Source organism: Homo sapiens, chromosome 1 (genome assembly GCF_000001405.40).
Source record: "Homo sapiens chromosome 1, GRCh38.p14 Primary Assembly".
Classification (NCBI taxonomy): Eukaryota; Metazoa; Chordata; class Mammalia; order Primates; family Hominidae; genus Homo; species Homo sapiens.
Genome location: NC_000001.11, coordinates 176,131,249 through 176,147,620, shown reverse-complemented (window position 1 = coordinate 176,147,620; position 16,372 = coordinate 176,131,249). Strand labels below are relative to the sequence as shown.

At 32.9% G+C, this 16,372-nt stretch overlaps 1 protein-coding gene across 31 annotated transcripts in view; it reads left to right on the top strand.

Annotated features, from left to right (window-relative positions):
• Positions 1-16,372, top strand: part of COP1 (COP1 E3 ubiquitin ligase) — a 262,456-nt gene that overhangs the window by 59,666 nt on the left and 186,418 nt on the right. For 9 of the 31 annotated variants that reach the window (XM_047427798.1, NM_001286644.2, XM_047427786.1 and 6 more), the window contains 2 exons: positions 11,074-11,133; positions 12,535-12,611. The exons of 4 other annotated variants lie outside the window; for them this stretch is intronic. In XM_047427798.1, the coding sequence (XP_047283754.1) occupies positions 11,074-11,133; positions 12,535-12,611 (137 nt within the window). Of the gene's footprint in view, positions 1-3,594; positions 3,617-11,073; positions 11,134-12,534; positions 12,612-13,720; positions 13,775-16,372 lie in introns of those variants that run through there. 18 more of the 31 variants (XM_047427762.1, XM_047427780.1, XM_011509881.3 and 15 more) reach the window with 4 other exon arrangements.

Sequence of the window (16,372 nt, the reverse complement as noted above, 5' to 3'; positions counted from 1 at the left end):
AGCTAATGTTTGTGATTAATTTTTTTTTCTTTTCTCTTGGACCATATTTTCTTGTAGTAGGTGGGTTAACCAAGAAACATACTAGTTCCAAATACTTCTGGATATTTGTGCCTCTAGTGTACAGTGATTGTACTGTCATTAATACATTTTGGTTTTCTTGATTTTGATATATCTGTGATTGACTTTGAGTATTTTAGTTTTAATTACACAAGAAATTCTGAGGAGCTAGGTAACAAATTGTAAACGTTTATCTACTACTTTGATTAAATTTCTTGAATTTCACAATAATTGGAATTGGGTACTATAGTGATTTGTAATTATAATAAGCTTTAGTCTAGAAAATATGTTTTAGTGCAGACAGATTGAAGTGAGTGGTTATATTTTCTTCTTCCATGTAAGTCTATTTGCGTGTTTAATCTTCAAAATGAATATAATTGTTACAGGTCTTAGGACCTGTAATATGGTTTATATACTTGAACTTATTCAAGTAAAATACAGATTTACCAGGAGGCAAATTGCTTCTTTTGACATTCAAACTTTGAAAATTAACTTCGTGATTTCATTTGTAACTTTTAATTGGAGTTCTGTTGAGTGTAGTTTTAGACATTGATATATACCAATCAGAGAAGTTAAATATGCTTTTTGGATTTAATGTTAAGATTCATTTAACTCATTTGGATAATGAGTATTCCACTGTCACAACTGGCTAGTAATTTAGGGCCATTTAATTTTCAGTTTTATTTTTTCCTACTGATTCTCCTTAGAATATTAAGAGAATGGAAAGTGCAAGGCACATAATAGGCATTTGCATTAGTTATCTATTGCTGTGTGACAAATTACTCTCAAATTTGATGTCCTAAAACATGAAAAATTTAATATATTGAGTCTAGAATTTTGATTCAGAGTAGCTGGGTGCCTTGGCTCTGGGTTTCTTACCAAGCTGCAATTAAGTTGTTGGCCAAGGGAGCAGTTATCTCAAGGTTTGACTGGGATAGGAACTTTCCAAGCTCACTCATCAGCTTTTGGAAAGAGATAACAATTTTTTTGTCACAGGGGCTTCTCCATAGGATAGCTCACTACATGGCAGCTGGCTGCCTCTCAAAAGGAACAAGTAAGAAAGCAAGAGAGGATATTGAAGACAGAAGTCACATGTTCTTTGTAACTTCATCTTGGAAATTATATCCTAAAACTTTTGCTGTTTTCTGTTTGTTAGAAGCACATCATTGGTTCATTCCACACTCAGAATTGCACAAGGGTTTGAATACTAAGAGGCGGGGATCTTTGGAGGCCATCTTAGAACTTGCCTATTAACAGCGTTTGTTAGTTATATATATTTAAATGAACATGTTAGTCTTCCTTCATGGTCAGATTAAACAAAAGGGTGTTGGGTTCCATGTAAAAGCCAGTCTTCTCTGTGCAAATTTGTACCAGCATTTGAATGATTCCCTTCTGTTTCATTTGATTTAATTTTAAAATGTACTTTTGGAAATTTTTGATACCTATTAAATTTACTGTAATATAATCGTTCTGATGAGTCTTGGTTTCCTTTTGGTTTTACTTGGAATTTTAGTGAATTGAATTTTAAACGATTTTTATATGAAAAACACAAAAAAGTATATAAACCAAATTTATAGTTTAAAGAATTACAGTAGAGTGACCATTTGTATAACCACCATTGTAAGCACAATGCAATACTGCTAGAACGGCTGAAGCACCCTGACCACCCTTTTTGGATTGCAGTCATCTTCCTTGCCCATTAGGTAACCAATATTCTGATAATTATGGCAGTCACTTTCTTGCCTTTCTTTAATGTTTTGCTGCCTGAGTATCCATAGGTCTCTCTGTTTTTGAGCGTTATTTAAGTGTGCTTGTGCAGTATGTAATCTTTTATTCCTATCTTCTTCGGCTGAATGTTAAGATTCATCCACATGGTTGTATATGACTGTAGTTGGTTGATTTTTGTTGTTGTATAGTATTCCATTAAGTGAATATGCCCCATTTTTGTTGTTGGTCGTCATTTGAGTTGTTTTCAGTTTGGGGCTGTTGGCAAAAAAATACTACTATGTTATATGTGTATCCAGGTTTATGTTAGTATACATATTTATATGGAATGTATTTAGAAGTGGAATTGATGAGTCATAGGATATGTGTATCTTCAAATTTAATAGATAATGCCAAAATATTTTTTCAAAACAAGTTGTATTAGTTATTCTTCCTACAGGCATAGGCATTGTATGAGCATTTCTGTTGCACTGTGTTCTTGCCAGTATGTGATACCAGTAGATTTTTTTTCCAGTTTAGCTAATCTTGGGGTATATACACTGTTATATGGTTGTAATTTGCATTTTCCAGATGACTTATGAGGTTGAGCACCTAGTACTACATTGATTGGCCATTTGGGTTTTTTTATGTTTGTGTGTGAAGTAATTGTTTAAAACTTTTTACATTTTTTGTTTGATTTTTCTTAATGGTTTGATATTTATATATTCTAGATATACATCTTGTCAGATCTATCTATCACAAATATCTTTCCCTCTAATTGGGTTGCATTCTTTTCATTATCTTAATGGTGTCATTTGATGACCAGAAGTTTCTGATATTAATAGAGTGAAATTTATCTTATCTGTTATACTTAGTGTGTTTTGTGTCACTTAAAGAAGTCTTTTCCACCTGTGGTCATGAAGACATTTTTCTATGCTGTTCTTTATTTGAAGCTTTATTCTTTTATCTTTCATATTTAGATCTATACTTGAAGATTTATTTTTGTGTATAATGTGAGGTATAGAGATATTTTCATATGGATATCTAGCTGCCCAAGCATCCTTTATTAAAAAGTCCATTCTTTCTTCATCACTCTGAAGTTTCACCTTTGTCATATATCATGTGTCCATGTATGTGTGGGTCTGTTTCTAGGTCCTCTTTTCTGCTTCACTGGTCTTTTTCGCAATACCACCTTGTATTAAATACTAGAGCTTTGAATTAAGTTGCTGTTCTTCTTTAAAGTCTGGGATATTCCTGGCTGTCTGCATTTCAGTATAAATTTTAGAATCAGCTAGTACGTTTCCATGGTAAACTTACTGTGCTTTTTATTGGGATTAATTTGACTAGATAAATCTGGGAGACTGTGTATTTACAGTATTCAGTCTTCTAATCTGTGAATGTGGTACTTCCCTCTATATTTAGATCTTTAAAATAGCCTTAAAATTTTTATATTTTTCAGGGTAGTCTTACACATCTTTATTTTAGATTTAGTCATTTTTGATACTATTGTAAATGATGTCTGTGTCTCTAACTTTAGTTTCTTATTATTGCTAGTGTGTAGAAATACAGGTGGGTTTTACATGGAGATTTTTAAAAATATCCAGCAACCTGGTTAAACTCTCATTAATCCTAATTTATTTGTAGATTCTTGTATGTTTTCTATGTACACATCATAATCTGCAAATAATAACAGTTTAGTTTCATTCTTTATGATCCTTATATCTTTTATTTATTTTTCTTGTCTTACTCTGCTGGCTAGGACATCCGGTACAATGATGAATAGAAGTGGTGATAGCGGGGCATCCTAGTCTTGATGCTGATCTCAAAGTGAAAGCATTCAACGTGTCACCATTAGGTATGATGTTTTCTGTAGGTTTTTTGTAGGTACTTTTTATCACTCAAGGTAGTAAATTTTTACCCAGTTTGCTAAGAGAATTTTTAAAAAATTTCTGAGTGGGGTTGAGTAGTCTCCAGAATTTTTGTGCATCTGATGCAACCATATGATTTTTCCTTTTCATTCTGTTAATGTGAATAATTACTTTGGTTTAGCATTGGGGAGTCAATCAACTTTGCATCTAGAGTGACCAACCATCCTGATTGGCCCAGGGGTGTCTTAGTTATATCTTAGTTATATCACTGAAGGTTCTGCATTCTAGGAAACCCCACCAGGACAATTGGTCCCCCTACTTGCACCCCTTATATAAACCAAACTTGGCCGTTATGTATATTCTCTTCTATATGGTTTGGTTTGCTTATATTTTGTTTAGGATTTTTGCATCTATGTTCATGAGTGAGATTGTTTTTTTTCTTACACATATCTTGTCCAGTTTTGCTATAAAGATTATGCTAGCTTTATCAAATGTGTTGGGAAATGTATCCTCTTTTTAAATTTTCTGGAATAATTTTGTGTAGTCTAAGAACATCTTTTTTGAATGTTTAAAGATCTTACTGGAGAAGCAGTCTAGACCTGTGATTGTTTGCGGGAAGTTTTAAGTTATTGAATCTGTTACTTGAACAGTTACATTCTTATTAAGGTTTTTGTTTTAGATGTCACTTTTCATTTGTTAAATTTTTTCTAGTCATTGTTTATGTCATCTCAATTTTCAAATTTATTGGCGTAAGATTGGTCTTAATAGAGTCTTAAGTTTTTAATGTCACCAGGGTTCATTCCTGGCAGTGTTTATTTTGCTTGTTCCTCTCTCTCTCTCTCTCTTTCTCTCGCTCTCTCTCTCTCTCGCTTGTTCTGTTGGATCAATTCTTGCCAGGAATATATCAATTATATGGGTTTTTTTCTAATAACTAACTTTTGACTTTGTTTTTCCTCTCTGTTTTGTTTGTTTTCTGTTTTATTTATGTTCTTTATTATTTCCATCCTGCTTTCTTTGGTTTTACTTTTTTGTTCCTTCCTAATCTGTTGGCTTGGGTGGATATGCATATTATTATGCAGATTATTTTTTCTAATGTAGGCATTTAGGGCCATAGTTTCTTATTTTTTAATCTGTACCTAATTCTTTTGGCATCATATTTTGTTTATTATTGTTCAAAATAATTTCTAATTTTCATTATATTTTTTTCTTAGGCCTGTGGCTTATTTAGAAACAAATGTCTTATTACTTGAACATTGAGATTTTGTTTTTTTTTTGTTCTGGATTTCTGTTATAATTGCATTGTAGTCAGAAAGTTGTGTTTTCTTTCTTTGAATATAATATTTGCTGTACCAACTGGTAATTGGTTAAATTTTGAAATACTTGTGCTTGAAAAGAATGCATTTTCTGCAGTTGCATGATTCATTGTAAAGTTGTTAAATGTGTGGTGAGAATTTCCTGCATTCATACCAGGTCTTCCTTTCCTTGTTATACCTATTACTGTCTCATTATCTTTTAGGTGAATTTCTTATAGATAGCATATGGTTGGACTATGCTTTGTAAATCTACTCTGCCAGACTCAGTTTTTTAATTGTGTATTTAGGCCATTTATTTAATATAAATATTATAGCATAAGCCTGTCATTTTATTTTTTGTTTTATATTTCTTTTTTTATTATTGTTGCTTTTCTGTTTTTCTTTCCATGGGTTTTTGAACAGTTTCTTTTCGGAATTCCATTTTGATTTATCTATAATGTTTTAAAGTAAATTTTTTGTATCATTTTTTAGTGGTTGCTCTCTCTGTTACATCATGTATTTGTAACTTATCAGCCTACTGGTATTGACATCTGTTTACATTTGCTCTTAAATAAGCCATCTTATTTTGTCCCCTCACTACTCTATCATTTATTTATTTGGTTTTGTTCTTGCTTTTTCTGTTTTCTTCTCAGCTTAAAACAAAATGTTGGCTGGGCACAGTGGCTCATGCCTGTAATTCTAACACGTTGGCGAAGGTAGGAGGATCATTTGAGGGCCAGGAGTTCAAGACCAGCCTGGACAATATAGTGAGACTTTGTCTCTACAAACAATTAAAAAAAAATTCGTGGAGCATAGGGGCGTGTGCCTGTAGTCCCCGCTACTTGGGAGGCTGAGGTGAGAGAATTGCTTGAGCCTAGGAGGCAGAGGCTGCAGTGAACTGAGATTGTGCCACTGCACTCCAGCCTGGGTGACAAAATGAGTCCCTGTCTTAAAAAAAAAAAAAGAAAAGAAAAAGTGCTATGAAAGGGTTAAATGAAGTCTTTTAATCAGGTCTGCCATTTCAGGAACTAGATATGAAGTATGTGAGTGTTTGTGGAGTGATAGTATGGGATGACAAGGGTTTTGGCTTGCTGTAGTGTGCACTTCATATGGCTAAATGCTTTGTTTTTGATAGTAACTCTCTTAGAATTAGCATATATTAAGTTTTGCTGCTGTATGTATGTATGTATGTATTTTTTGAGATGGAGTCTTGCTCTGTTGCCCAGGCTGGAGTGCAGTGGCACTATCTCGCCTCACTGCAACCTGCACCTCCCGGGTTCAAGAGATTCTCCTGCCTCACCCTCCCAAGTAGCTGGTATTACAGGTGCCTACCACCACGCCTGGCTAATTTTTATATTTTTAGTAGAGACAGGGTGTCACCTTATTGGCCAAACTGGTCTTGAACTCTGACCTTAGGTGATCTGCCCGCCTCAGCCTCCCAAAGTGTTGGGCTTACAGGCGTGAGCCACCGCACCTAGCCTTGCTCGATTTTTAAAATCAGCTTTTCCCCATTGAAAGTGTAATGGTGTATTCTTTTGTTCAGTTTGGAACAATTATATGTAATGTATTCAAAATTATATTAAAAATTCAAATAATGAGTTTAATGCTTAAGCATATCTTTATCAAGGCACTAATGAAAGTCAGTTGAGTACCAATGATACCTACCTGCACCAAATCCATTATCAGTAATGGGAGAGTCTATCTATTATCTTCGTAAGGGATTCTGAGACTTACTTACTCTTTACCTTTACGTTAAATGTTTCTAAAAGTTTTCTTTGGGCTTTGGCACAGTGTTAAGAGAGTGCTTGCTATTGATTCTTTAGTCCCATGCCCTCAAATAGCATTGTCTTAGTTCTCCATCTTATATATTTATTTATTTTTCTAAGTGGCACCAAACTCTGTAATGGTGTTAAGATAAATGTGATCTAGGAGTTTATTATCATTCCTAATTTGTGATTGATTTTCCTTTAGATAATAGCAGTTCAGCTTCTTGAACTTTTCTTCATATATCTTTAAAACATTCTTGGACTTATATTCAGACTTTTCTTCTAAGTTCTCCTTCCCGGGGTTATGTTTACAGAGTGAATTTAGCCCATTTCTTCTTTCCACATCCTTGAAGTGGTTGTCCTTCATCATTTTTCTATTTACTAGTACTAAAATGTCTTGCACTGATGCCCTTATAATTTACAGCTCCAAATCCCTTCAGAATTCTCATCTTAAAATGGAAACACCTCAAATTTAATATGTGCTCTCTCAACAGTTTTCAGTCTTCCAAACTTTTTTCTTTTTAATATTTCTTGCCTGATACCTTGTCAGACTTTCTTACGGATAGGTTATATCATTTTGTTTTGCATTCTGTCTGTATATCTGTCAGGACAACACCATGCCTTCATTATTTGATTTTTAAGTTGAACCATATGAAATTGCTGTTTTTGAAGTAAAAATTGTTTTATTATTGGCAGTTTTATGAGGTTCACCTTATGTATAGAAGCCTTCATATGTAACAATAGGTATATGATCCAGTAAAAGCTTTGAGGTATTAGGAGATGGAACATTATTTTCAGAGAAGACATTAGAGTTTAATATTTTGAGATTTCAGGTGACATTGGAAATTTTTCTGGAATTTCAAGTTCAAAAGCAGAATAAAAATTAATTTGATTTCAATTATTATGTATCATACAAGTAATATTGGCTGTCTTTGGCTATTGATATTACAGATATTTACTTTCTTTTTAAATATAATTTCAACTTTTCGATTCAGGGAGTACATGTACGGGTTTCTTACGTAGATATATGGTGTGATGCTAAAATTTGGGGTATGATTGACCCCATCACTCAGAAGTGTGAGCATAGTACTCAGCAGTTAGTTCTTCAACCCTTTCTTCCTTCCCCCACCCCAGTAGTTCCCTGTGTCTGTTGTAACCATCTTTATGAGTACCCAGTGTTTAACTCCCACTTATAAGTGAGAACATGTGGTATTTGGTTTTCTCTTACTTCATTAATTCACTTAGGATGATGGCTTCCAGCTCCATCCATGTTGCTGCAAAGGACATGATTTGTTCTTTTTATGGCTGTACAGTATTCCACGGTGTCTCTGTATCACATCTTTATTGAGTCCACCGTTGATGGGCAATGATGGGCATTGATGAATCTTTGCTGTGATGAATAGAGCTATGATGAACATACAAATACACTTGTCTTTGGGGGAGAATGATTTATTTTCTTTTGGATATATACTCAATAATGGAATTACTCGGTCAAATAGTAGTTCTCTTTTAATAAGCTCTTTGAGAAATCTCCCAACTCCGGTCTCCACAGTGGCTGAACTAATTTACATTCCCACCAGCAGTGTACAAACATTCCTTTTTCTCTGCAGCCTCACCAGCATCTCTTTTTTTGTTTTTTTTTTTTGTTTTTTTTGTTTTTGTTTTTTCACTTTTCAATAATTGCCATTCTGACTGGTGTGAGATGGTATCTCATTTTGGTTTTTGTTAACATTTATCTGATGATTAGTGATGTTGAGCATTTTTTTATGTGTGATGGCCACTTGTATGTTGCCTTTTGGGAATTGTCTGTTTATGTCTGTGCCCATTTTTTAATGGGGTTATTTGTTTTTTGTTTTTCATTTATTTACGTTCCTTGTAGATTCTGGATATTAGACTTTTGTCAGATACTCATTCTTCTTTTTAAATGTATTTTTTAAAGCAATTATTCTAAAGACCTCTTATATATAGTAAAGCATTTGTTTAAATAAAAATTTCAAGAGTGGAACATTTTAAGGTAGTTAAATGAAAATGTTTAAGAGATTACCATGGGAGTGTTTTGCTGAATTAGAGGTCAGCATCACTGGATGCTGGAGTTGAAAATGTCCATGAACCCAAAGGCCTCAGTGATGGTGGAGAATAACTGGGATGTTTATTGATGGCTCAAGTGGGTGGACAGGGATTTGGCTGCTTGGTATGAGCTAGACAGAGTGGTTTTTATGTTATGGTGGAAAACTAATTTTAGGGTGGAAGACTAATTGTTGGAAATGGCCATGGAATGGAGTAGAAATAGTGAGTTCCTATCTATTAATAAGTCCTGTAAACTCTGGGGCTTTAGAGACTTTATCAATTGAGCAGTATCAATTGAGCAGCTGTTATTTGAAAGAGTTTCAGGACAGACAGTGTCTTTAAGAGTGAGCAGGGTTTCAGTTAAGGTGGCATTGTGTGACATATTTTAAGGCGGCAGGAAGTTTATTAAAGTAGATAGATGAGTTGAAAGCTTTTGAAAATGCTAATCACTCTTTTAACCCTTGATTTCTCCAATGGTACTGTCATTTCCCCTGGTTTTCTGGCTGCGACTTTGCCCTTCTTGATTGTTAATGCTGCTTCTTCCTTTGCCCATCTCTTTAACATTGGTGTTTTCTACCATTTCAGTTTTGCTTTTATCTCTTCTGACTATACTTATTGATGTTAAGCAGTTTTATTTATTGCCTTACTTTCAGATTTATTATTTACCTTTCTCATGGCTTTTGTACCTTCGCATATGTTATTATTTACTCTGCTTATTCTGTCATGCCTCACTGTTTTCCACTTGGCAGAATTCTGTTAGTCTTTTAAGGCTCAGCCTCTGATTTAATTTTCAATCAAATTTTAGTTATCTAGTCCTCTTCTTACCCCACCAGCTCTACATTAGATGTGGTCTATATTCCCTTAATACGTTGTATACCATCATCATAATGCTTGCTATGATATTTCAACTATTGGCTTTCTTATTTGCCATCTCCCCTAGACTGAACTCAGGGTAAGGGCTACAGTTGTTTTTCGATCCTGTTCTTCTCAGTACTTAGGAAGGTGCCTAGAATTGGTAAATACTTGAATGAGTAAGTTATTAATTATATTACCAACTTTGCCTGTATTGCCACAGAAGATACTAATACTAATAAGTCTATAAAAAACCCTGTTTGCCCTTATCAGTTATTAAAGAAATGAGTTAATAATAAGGTACTGTTTTCAATAGGTAGTAAAGAATAGTAGTTAAAAGCATGAATTCTGGAACAATAAGCCTACCTTAATTTGAATTCCAGTTCTGCCACTTACAGAATGATTTTGGACAAATCATTTAACCTTTCTGTGCTTCATTTTCACATCTGGCAATCAGTAATATATAAGTATTAGTTGTTAATATTTTACATTTATAAATGTGTTCAATATTTCCAGGTTAGAGTAAGACAACCGCATCCTGGCGTTAGGAATTTAAATTGGTATAGTGTTTCTGGAAAGCAGTTTTCTTTTGATTGAATAATTTTATTTTTAATACTCTCAATAAAATCTGAAGTAATCTTTTAATAAAATCTGAAAATGAAATGAAATCTGAAAGAACAATATGTTCCAGAATTATATATGATAGTTTGCAGGCAACTTAAATCTCTAATGAGAAAGGGAATGGTTCAATATATTAAGTGTTATTCAACAGTTACAATGTTTGCATTTTAGTGGCATGGAAAATTATTAGTGGTTTAATAGGCGAGATATAAAAGATAAAATACTAACTCAAATATGTTTTTAAAACCCTTAAGAAGGAAGTGTTAAGATACTGACTTGTGGTTGCTTTTGGGTGAGGGGATTTAACCTCTGTCAGACTAATCTTTGTTTATAAAGTATGATTAAAGTTCTGGTGCAGTGGCTCACGCCTGTAATACCAGCACTTTGGGAGGCTGAGGCGGGCAGATTGCTTGAGCTCAAAAGTTGGAGACCAGCCTGGGCAACATAGTGAAACCTATCTCTATTTAAAAAAAAAAAGTGTGATTAACAACTGACATGCTGAATTTTTCTGTTTAACAACTAAATGAGGTAATGTGAAAGTTCTTTGGCTATCTTGTATTTTTTTAAGCCACTGTCATTCATCTCATACTTTTATTGTAAAATCAAACTGTTGTATTAAAGAAGTACAACATTGTGTTTTCACATAATTCTCTACCTTTGCATTAAAAAATGGGAACTTCTAGCTATATTTTGTTGATGGTTATCCCTCCTGTTAATTTGCCATTAGTGCCAAGTTTGATAGAAATTATTTTCCTAATGTAAATTTATTTTATGATCATGGTGATGCCATTTTGGTTTGGCTTAGGCTTTTTTTTTTTTGTCTTTCTCTCTCTATTTAATCTGCAGCAACTGGAACAGATCCAGAAGGAGCTAAGTGTTTTGGAAGAGGATATTAAGAGAGTGGAAGTAAGGAATCAAGAATTTCTCACATCCTTAGCAATTTTTCAATTTCATGAAATTGTCACCTTTCCATTAAGTTGCTGTGTTAAGTTTATGGGATTGGTCTTAGGAAGAAAGTAACAGCTGTTACTTTCATTTCAATTGAGGATGAATTTTTGTAGAAAAAAACATTCTGAACACTTGATAAAATATAGTCTAAATTTGTTTTACAATGTTTTATTGCCATAATTTTTCTCGATTAGACTGACAAAAAAAATCGCTCAGTTTTCTTGGAGTGCCATCATAACTTAAAACTGTCAATTATTACCACTACAATGCTTTTTTTATTAATAACTTTTACATACCTACTCTGTGCATTTCTAGGAGTTAAGGTTAATTAAAAGAGAAATATAAGAATACATTACCAATATTCTGGGAATTTACAGTTTAATATAGTTTACCTAAGGAAATTTATGGGAGGATCCTTGGGAGTCTTATAGGGTATTATGATTTGAAGTTTTTGCCTTTGGCTGTATTTATTAATTTAGTTTGTGTTTTTAGTTATTTATATGTATTGTAATTTTTTTTTGCTGATACATAGAACATGTTTAAGATTAATGGATTTAATATTTAGTGGATGTTCAGTATCCTCTGTAGCATTCTTAAGTTGTTACACATTTATGTCACTTACCTGACTGTATGATTGAGCTGAGGTTGCATTAGCTAGAAATAATTTTACCTGATTATGCATCTTTAGTGGCATTTTAAAATTTGCTATTTTTTCATTAATCAAAGTTAGTACATAAAAAAGGAAGCTAGGTTGTCAGTGTGAGAGAGAAAATTTATATAATGGTTGATTAGGCCTATTCCTCTGGATTACTGATCAAAAATTAGAGTCTAAGTCATTATTAAACAAAGCTGATATTTCAATCTTAATATTTGTGAAGAATATATATAAAGCAGAGACTGACATATTCTGGGTGTTTTTTGTGTTTTTATGTTCAAGAGTTGAACCTGATGATCCAGTTATCTTACTGTCATATTTATCTTAACATTTATCAATAGATTATCACCTGAATTAATGATATGCTAGTTCACTATTCACATAGTATAATGTACATGTCATTTAAAATATTTACATTTACATTTATCTTTTTTTGCATGTGGTGGCTTCATTAATGATGAACAATATTTAGTAAACAATTTATAGTTCTTTAAGATTGTGTACCATGGAAAAGGCTTGTCTCTTAACTTTTCACATGTCCTTGCTTTTGTATTCTGTGGAGAGGAAGCCTTCAGAAATTTGATATTGAGACAAACAGGGACTGATGAAAACCTGGGAATAGAAAGGAATATATCATGCCTCTTTTTGATTTATATATCTTCTATTTGAAATATCTACTATAATTCAAATAATTTTATTTTCAGGAAATGAGTGGCTTATACTCTCCTGTCAGTGAGGATAGCACAGTGCCTCAATTTGAAGCTCCTTCTCCATCACACAGGTACAAGCTTCACACTTGCAATTGATTAGAATTCATATTACAAAGTATGCATATGGTCTAGTCCTTTAGGAGCCTTTTCCATGCAGTGTATGAAACCCCTGAGAAATTACTTTGGTCATGATCTAGAAATGATATTCATATGGCCCATCTGTTTCCTTAATGCGTTGGATTTCATGCCAGGAAGAGTTAGCGAGTAGAATACTATAATGTTATGAATTCACAGTTGGATTAAAAGTTTGATGAATTTCTTAAAGTAATGATAGCTTTAAATATCTTGTGAATTAAAGTCAGATGACATTCAAAAATCTAAATTTGAGAACATGAAGTGGTAATATTAGGGAAAAATGTGATAAAATAAAACCTTGGACTTCTCCCCCTAACTTGTTAAATTTTATTGGACAGATCACTTTTCCCACATTTAAAATGAGGGCAGTAGACAGATCTGTTAGTTTAGATTTCCTTGGTATTTTCTTATAACTACTTATTATTAATTCTTCTATATGCGATATTAGTATAGGGTTATATTTGTCATGACCATTTCCCAAGATTTTAGAATAAAGCCTGGTTTCATTTAGTAGTAGGTATTTGTAAAGCATGGTGAATGTGTGTGTTTCCCTTTTAGCTGTAAAACCTACTTCATGAAATATATGCTATCTGAATCTTGAGTTTTGAATTTTTATGCTTGAAATGTTCAAACTAAGAACAGTTTTACATGAAATCATTTGTTTTTGATTTGTTAAATCCACTCTCTGTTTAGGATAACGATTTAATGGAATCTTATCAGACAAATAGTTTTAGGTAATGTGTACTATCAGGAAGTCCAGTTCTACTATGGTAGATTATAATAACCTTCGGAAACCTTATCACTTTAGGAAAGCTATTATGGATCTAGTTCAGTACATCATGTACAGAAAGGGTGCAGGGATGTTCTAGTTAAGGAGAATTCAGAGGTTTGACATTTTTCCCATTAATTATAGTATGGAGAATCCTTGTGAGTTCGTTAATTCTGGTGTTATTTTAGCTGTGTAATTCAGCCGATTTTCTTCTATATTTTACTTTCTTTGAAACATTTGAGAATGACTTGGTCTGTGTATATTGTTATCTTTAAGCCTTGAATTCAGTTCTGATATGCACAGGATCTTTGTCAATGGAATACTTATTATGTAAGTACATACAGGGAAGAAAAAGTTGTCACATCACAAAAAGTTCACTAATAATGATTCATTCCCATTGTCTTTTTCCTCTCTGTTTAACAGTAGCAAATTTTTTTTGTATATATTGTTTCCAGATCTTTGTTACTCAGTCTCTCACTGATTGTTGGATTTTATGAAATTGTGACAGTACGGTGCATTTACTTAATTGCTCTATTTATTGAATGCCTCTGATGTGCTAGGGACTATTCTAGGTGTTGGATCTAGCTGACAAAGTCCTCGTCCCTTTGGAGCTTACATTTTGGGATGTGTGTATGGAGGTTGGGGGAGACACTAAAAGGGCCAATGTATAGCATAGTAGTAGTATATAACATACAATACAGTCATGCACTGCATAATGACGTTTCAGTCAGTGATGGACTGCATATATGATGGTGATCTCATAAGAAAATAATAGAGCACATAAAGAGACCTAATATATGACACTTGATATTGGCATTGCAGATCAAGTAGGGGAAATGACTGATATTCAGTAATGGTGCTGGGACATTGGTTTTTCACATATATATGTGTACATACGTATATATATACGTACGTATATACGTATGTGTGTACCTACGTACATATACGTACGTATATACGTATGTGTGTACATACGTACATATACGTACGTATATACGTATGTGTGTACATACGTATATATATGTACGTATATACGTATGTGTATGGGTATATATAGTATATATACGTACATATGTGTATATGTGTGTATATATAGTATATATACGTACATATGTGTATATGTGTGTATATATAGTATATATACGTACATATGTGTATATGTGTGTATATATAGTATATATACGTACATATGTGTATATGTGTGTATATATAGTATATATACGTACATATGTGTATATGTGTGTATATATAGTATATATACGTACATATGTGTATATGTGTGTATATATAGTATATATACGTACATATGTGTATATGTGTGTATATATAGTATATATACGTACATATGTGTATATGTGTGTATATATAATATATACGTACATATGTGTATATGTGTGTATATATAGTATATATACGTACATATGTGTATATGTGTGTATATATAGTATATATACGTACATATGTGTATATGTGTGTATATATAGTATATATACGTACATATGTGTATATGTGTGTATATATAGTATATATACGTACATATGTGTATATGTGTGTATATATAGTATATATACGTACATATGTGTATATGTGTGTATATATAGTATATATACGTACATATGTGTATATGTGTGTATATATTCATATATGTGTGTGTGTATATACACACACACATACATACCCCCATCTTGGTTTGTGTAAGTATACTCTATGATCACATAATGACAAAATTGCCTAATGACACATTTCTCAGACTGTATCCCTGTCATTGAGTGATGCATGACTGCACTACCTTAGGAAGAATAGTTAGGCATGGTAGGGCTTTGCAAGAGGATTCTGTTTTAGTTTTCATAGCCAGGCTTCTCCAAGGAGGTGACATTTAAGTTGACACATTAATCAAGTAAAGACTAATTATGATGGAAAGTTATGGGATAGTGTTGAGCAGGATCTGATTTAGATTTTAAAATGTTTACTTGGATCCCTGTGTGGAGGACAGAGAAGATGTGTCCCTCTCAACCCCTTGACATTGGAAGCTGGGGAGAAAAGTTAGGAAGCATTGTAGCAGTTCAGAAGAGAGGAGATGTTGGTTTGCATTAGGATTTTATTGATAGAAGAGGTAAGAGTGGTTGTATTGTAAAATAAAGTAGCAGATCTCGTAAAACATACTAGATTTCATGAAGTTTATGAAAATATTGTTGGAGAATTGCTAAAATTGCTTGCAAAGCTGTCATTAAATTAGATTCTAGCAGAGTTAAATGGGTTAGCAGTTCAAGAAGGGAAAATAGGCAAACAGTATTTTCTTCAAGAGTGTTTTGATATTTTCTCTGAACAAGTGATGTGAATATCACTCAAGGATTGAGAGAGGCACTTGGGAAAAATGATGTAGCCCTTAAATACTCTTGAGTGAAAATGATCCTTAAGATTACGATTTGAAATCAGACATTCTGAGACAAATATTATCTTTTATAATACTATTCATATTTGATTTTTCTTTAAGCAATAGTATGTAGTTGCAATTTTACTAATCTTTTTTCTTTCAGAATTATTAGCTTTATTATTTAAATGCCAGACAGTTTTTGTTCTTATTCCTCACTAAAAAGTTTTGATCTCTCTTTTAAGCAGGCTTACTTTACAAAAGCTCTTTTCTAGATTTGTTAGTTTTCTATAATGAATATCTTTATTATATGTCAGGTCACTGAATCCTTTACATAGATTCTGGGTTTATGTTTAGATTATGTATTTAAATGAAAAAGAAAAGCAGAAGCCAGATAATGGTATTCTCTCCCTTTCCCAGCCCCCCACAGAACTTTATATTCTACCTACTTTGATTAGCTGTAATTGTCATATCCTATTTTACTGCTTCTGCCTTGTTTAGATCCTTAGCATCACCTCATCTAGCAATAATCTTTTAACCTATCCTTTTATGTGTTA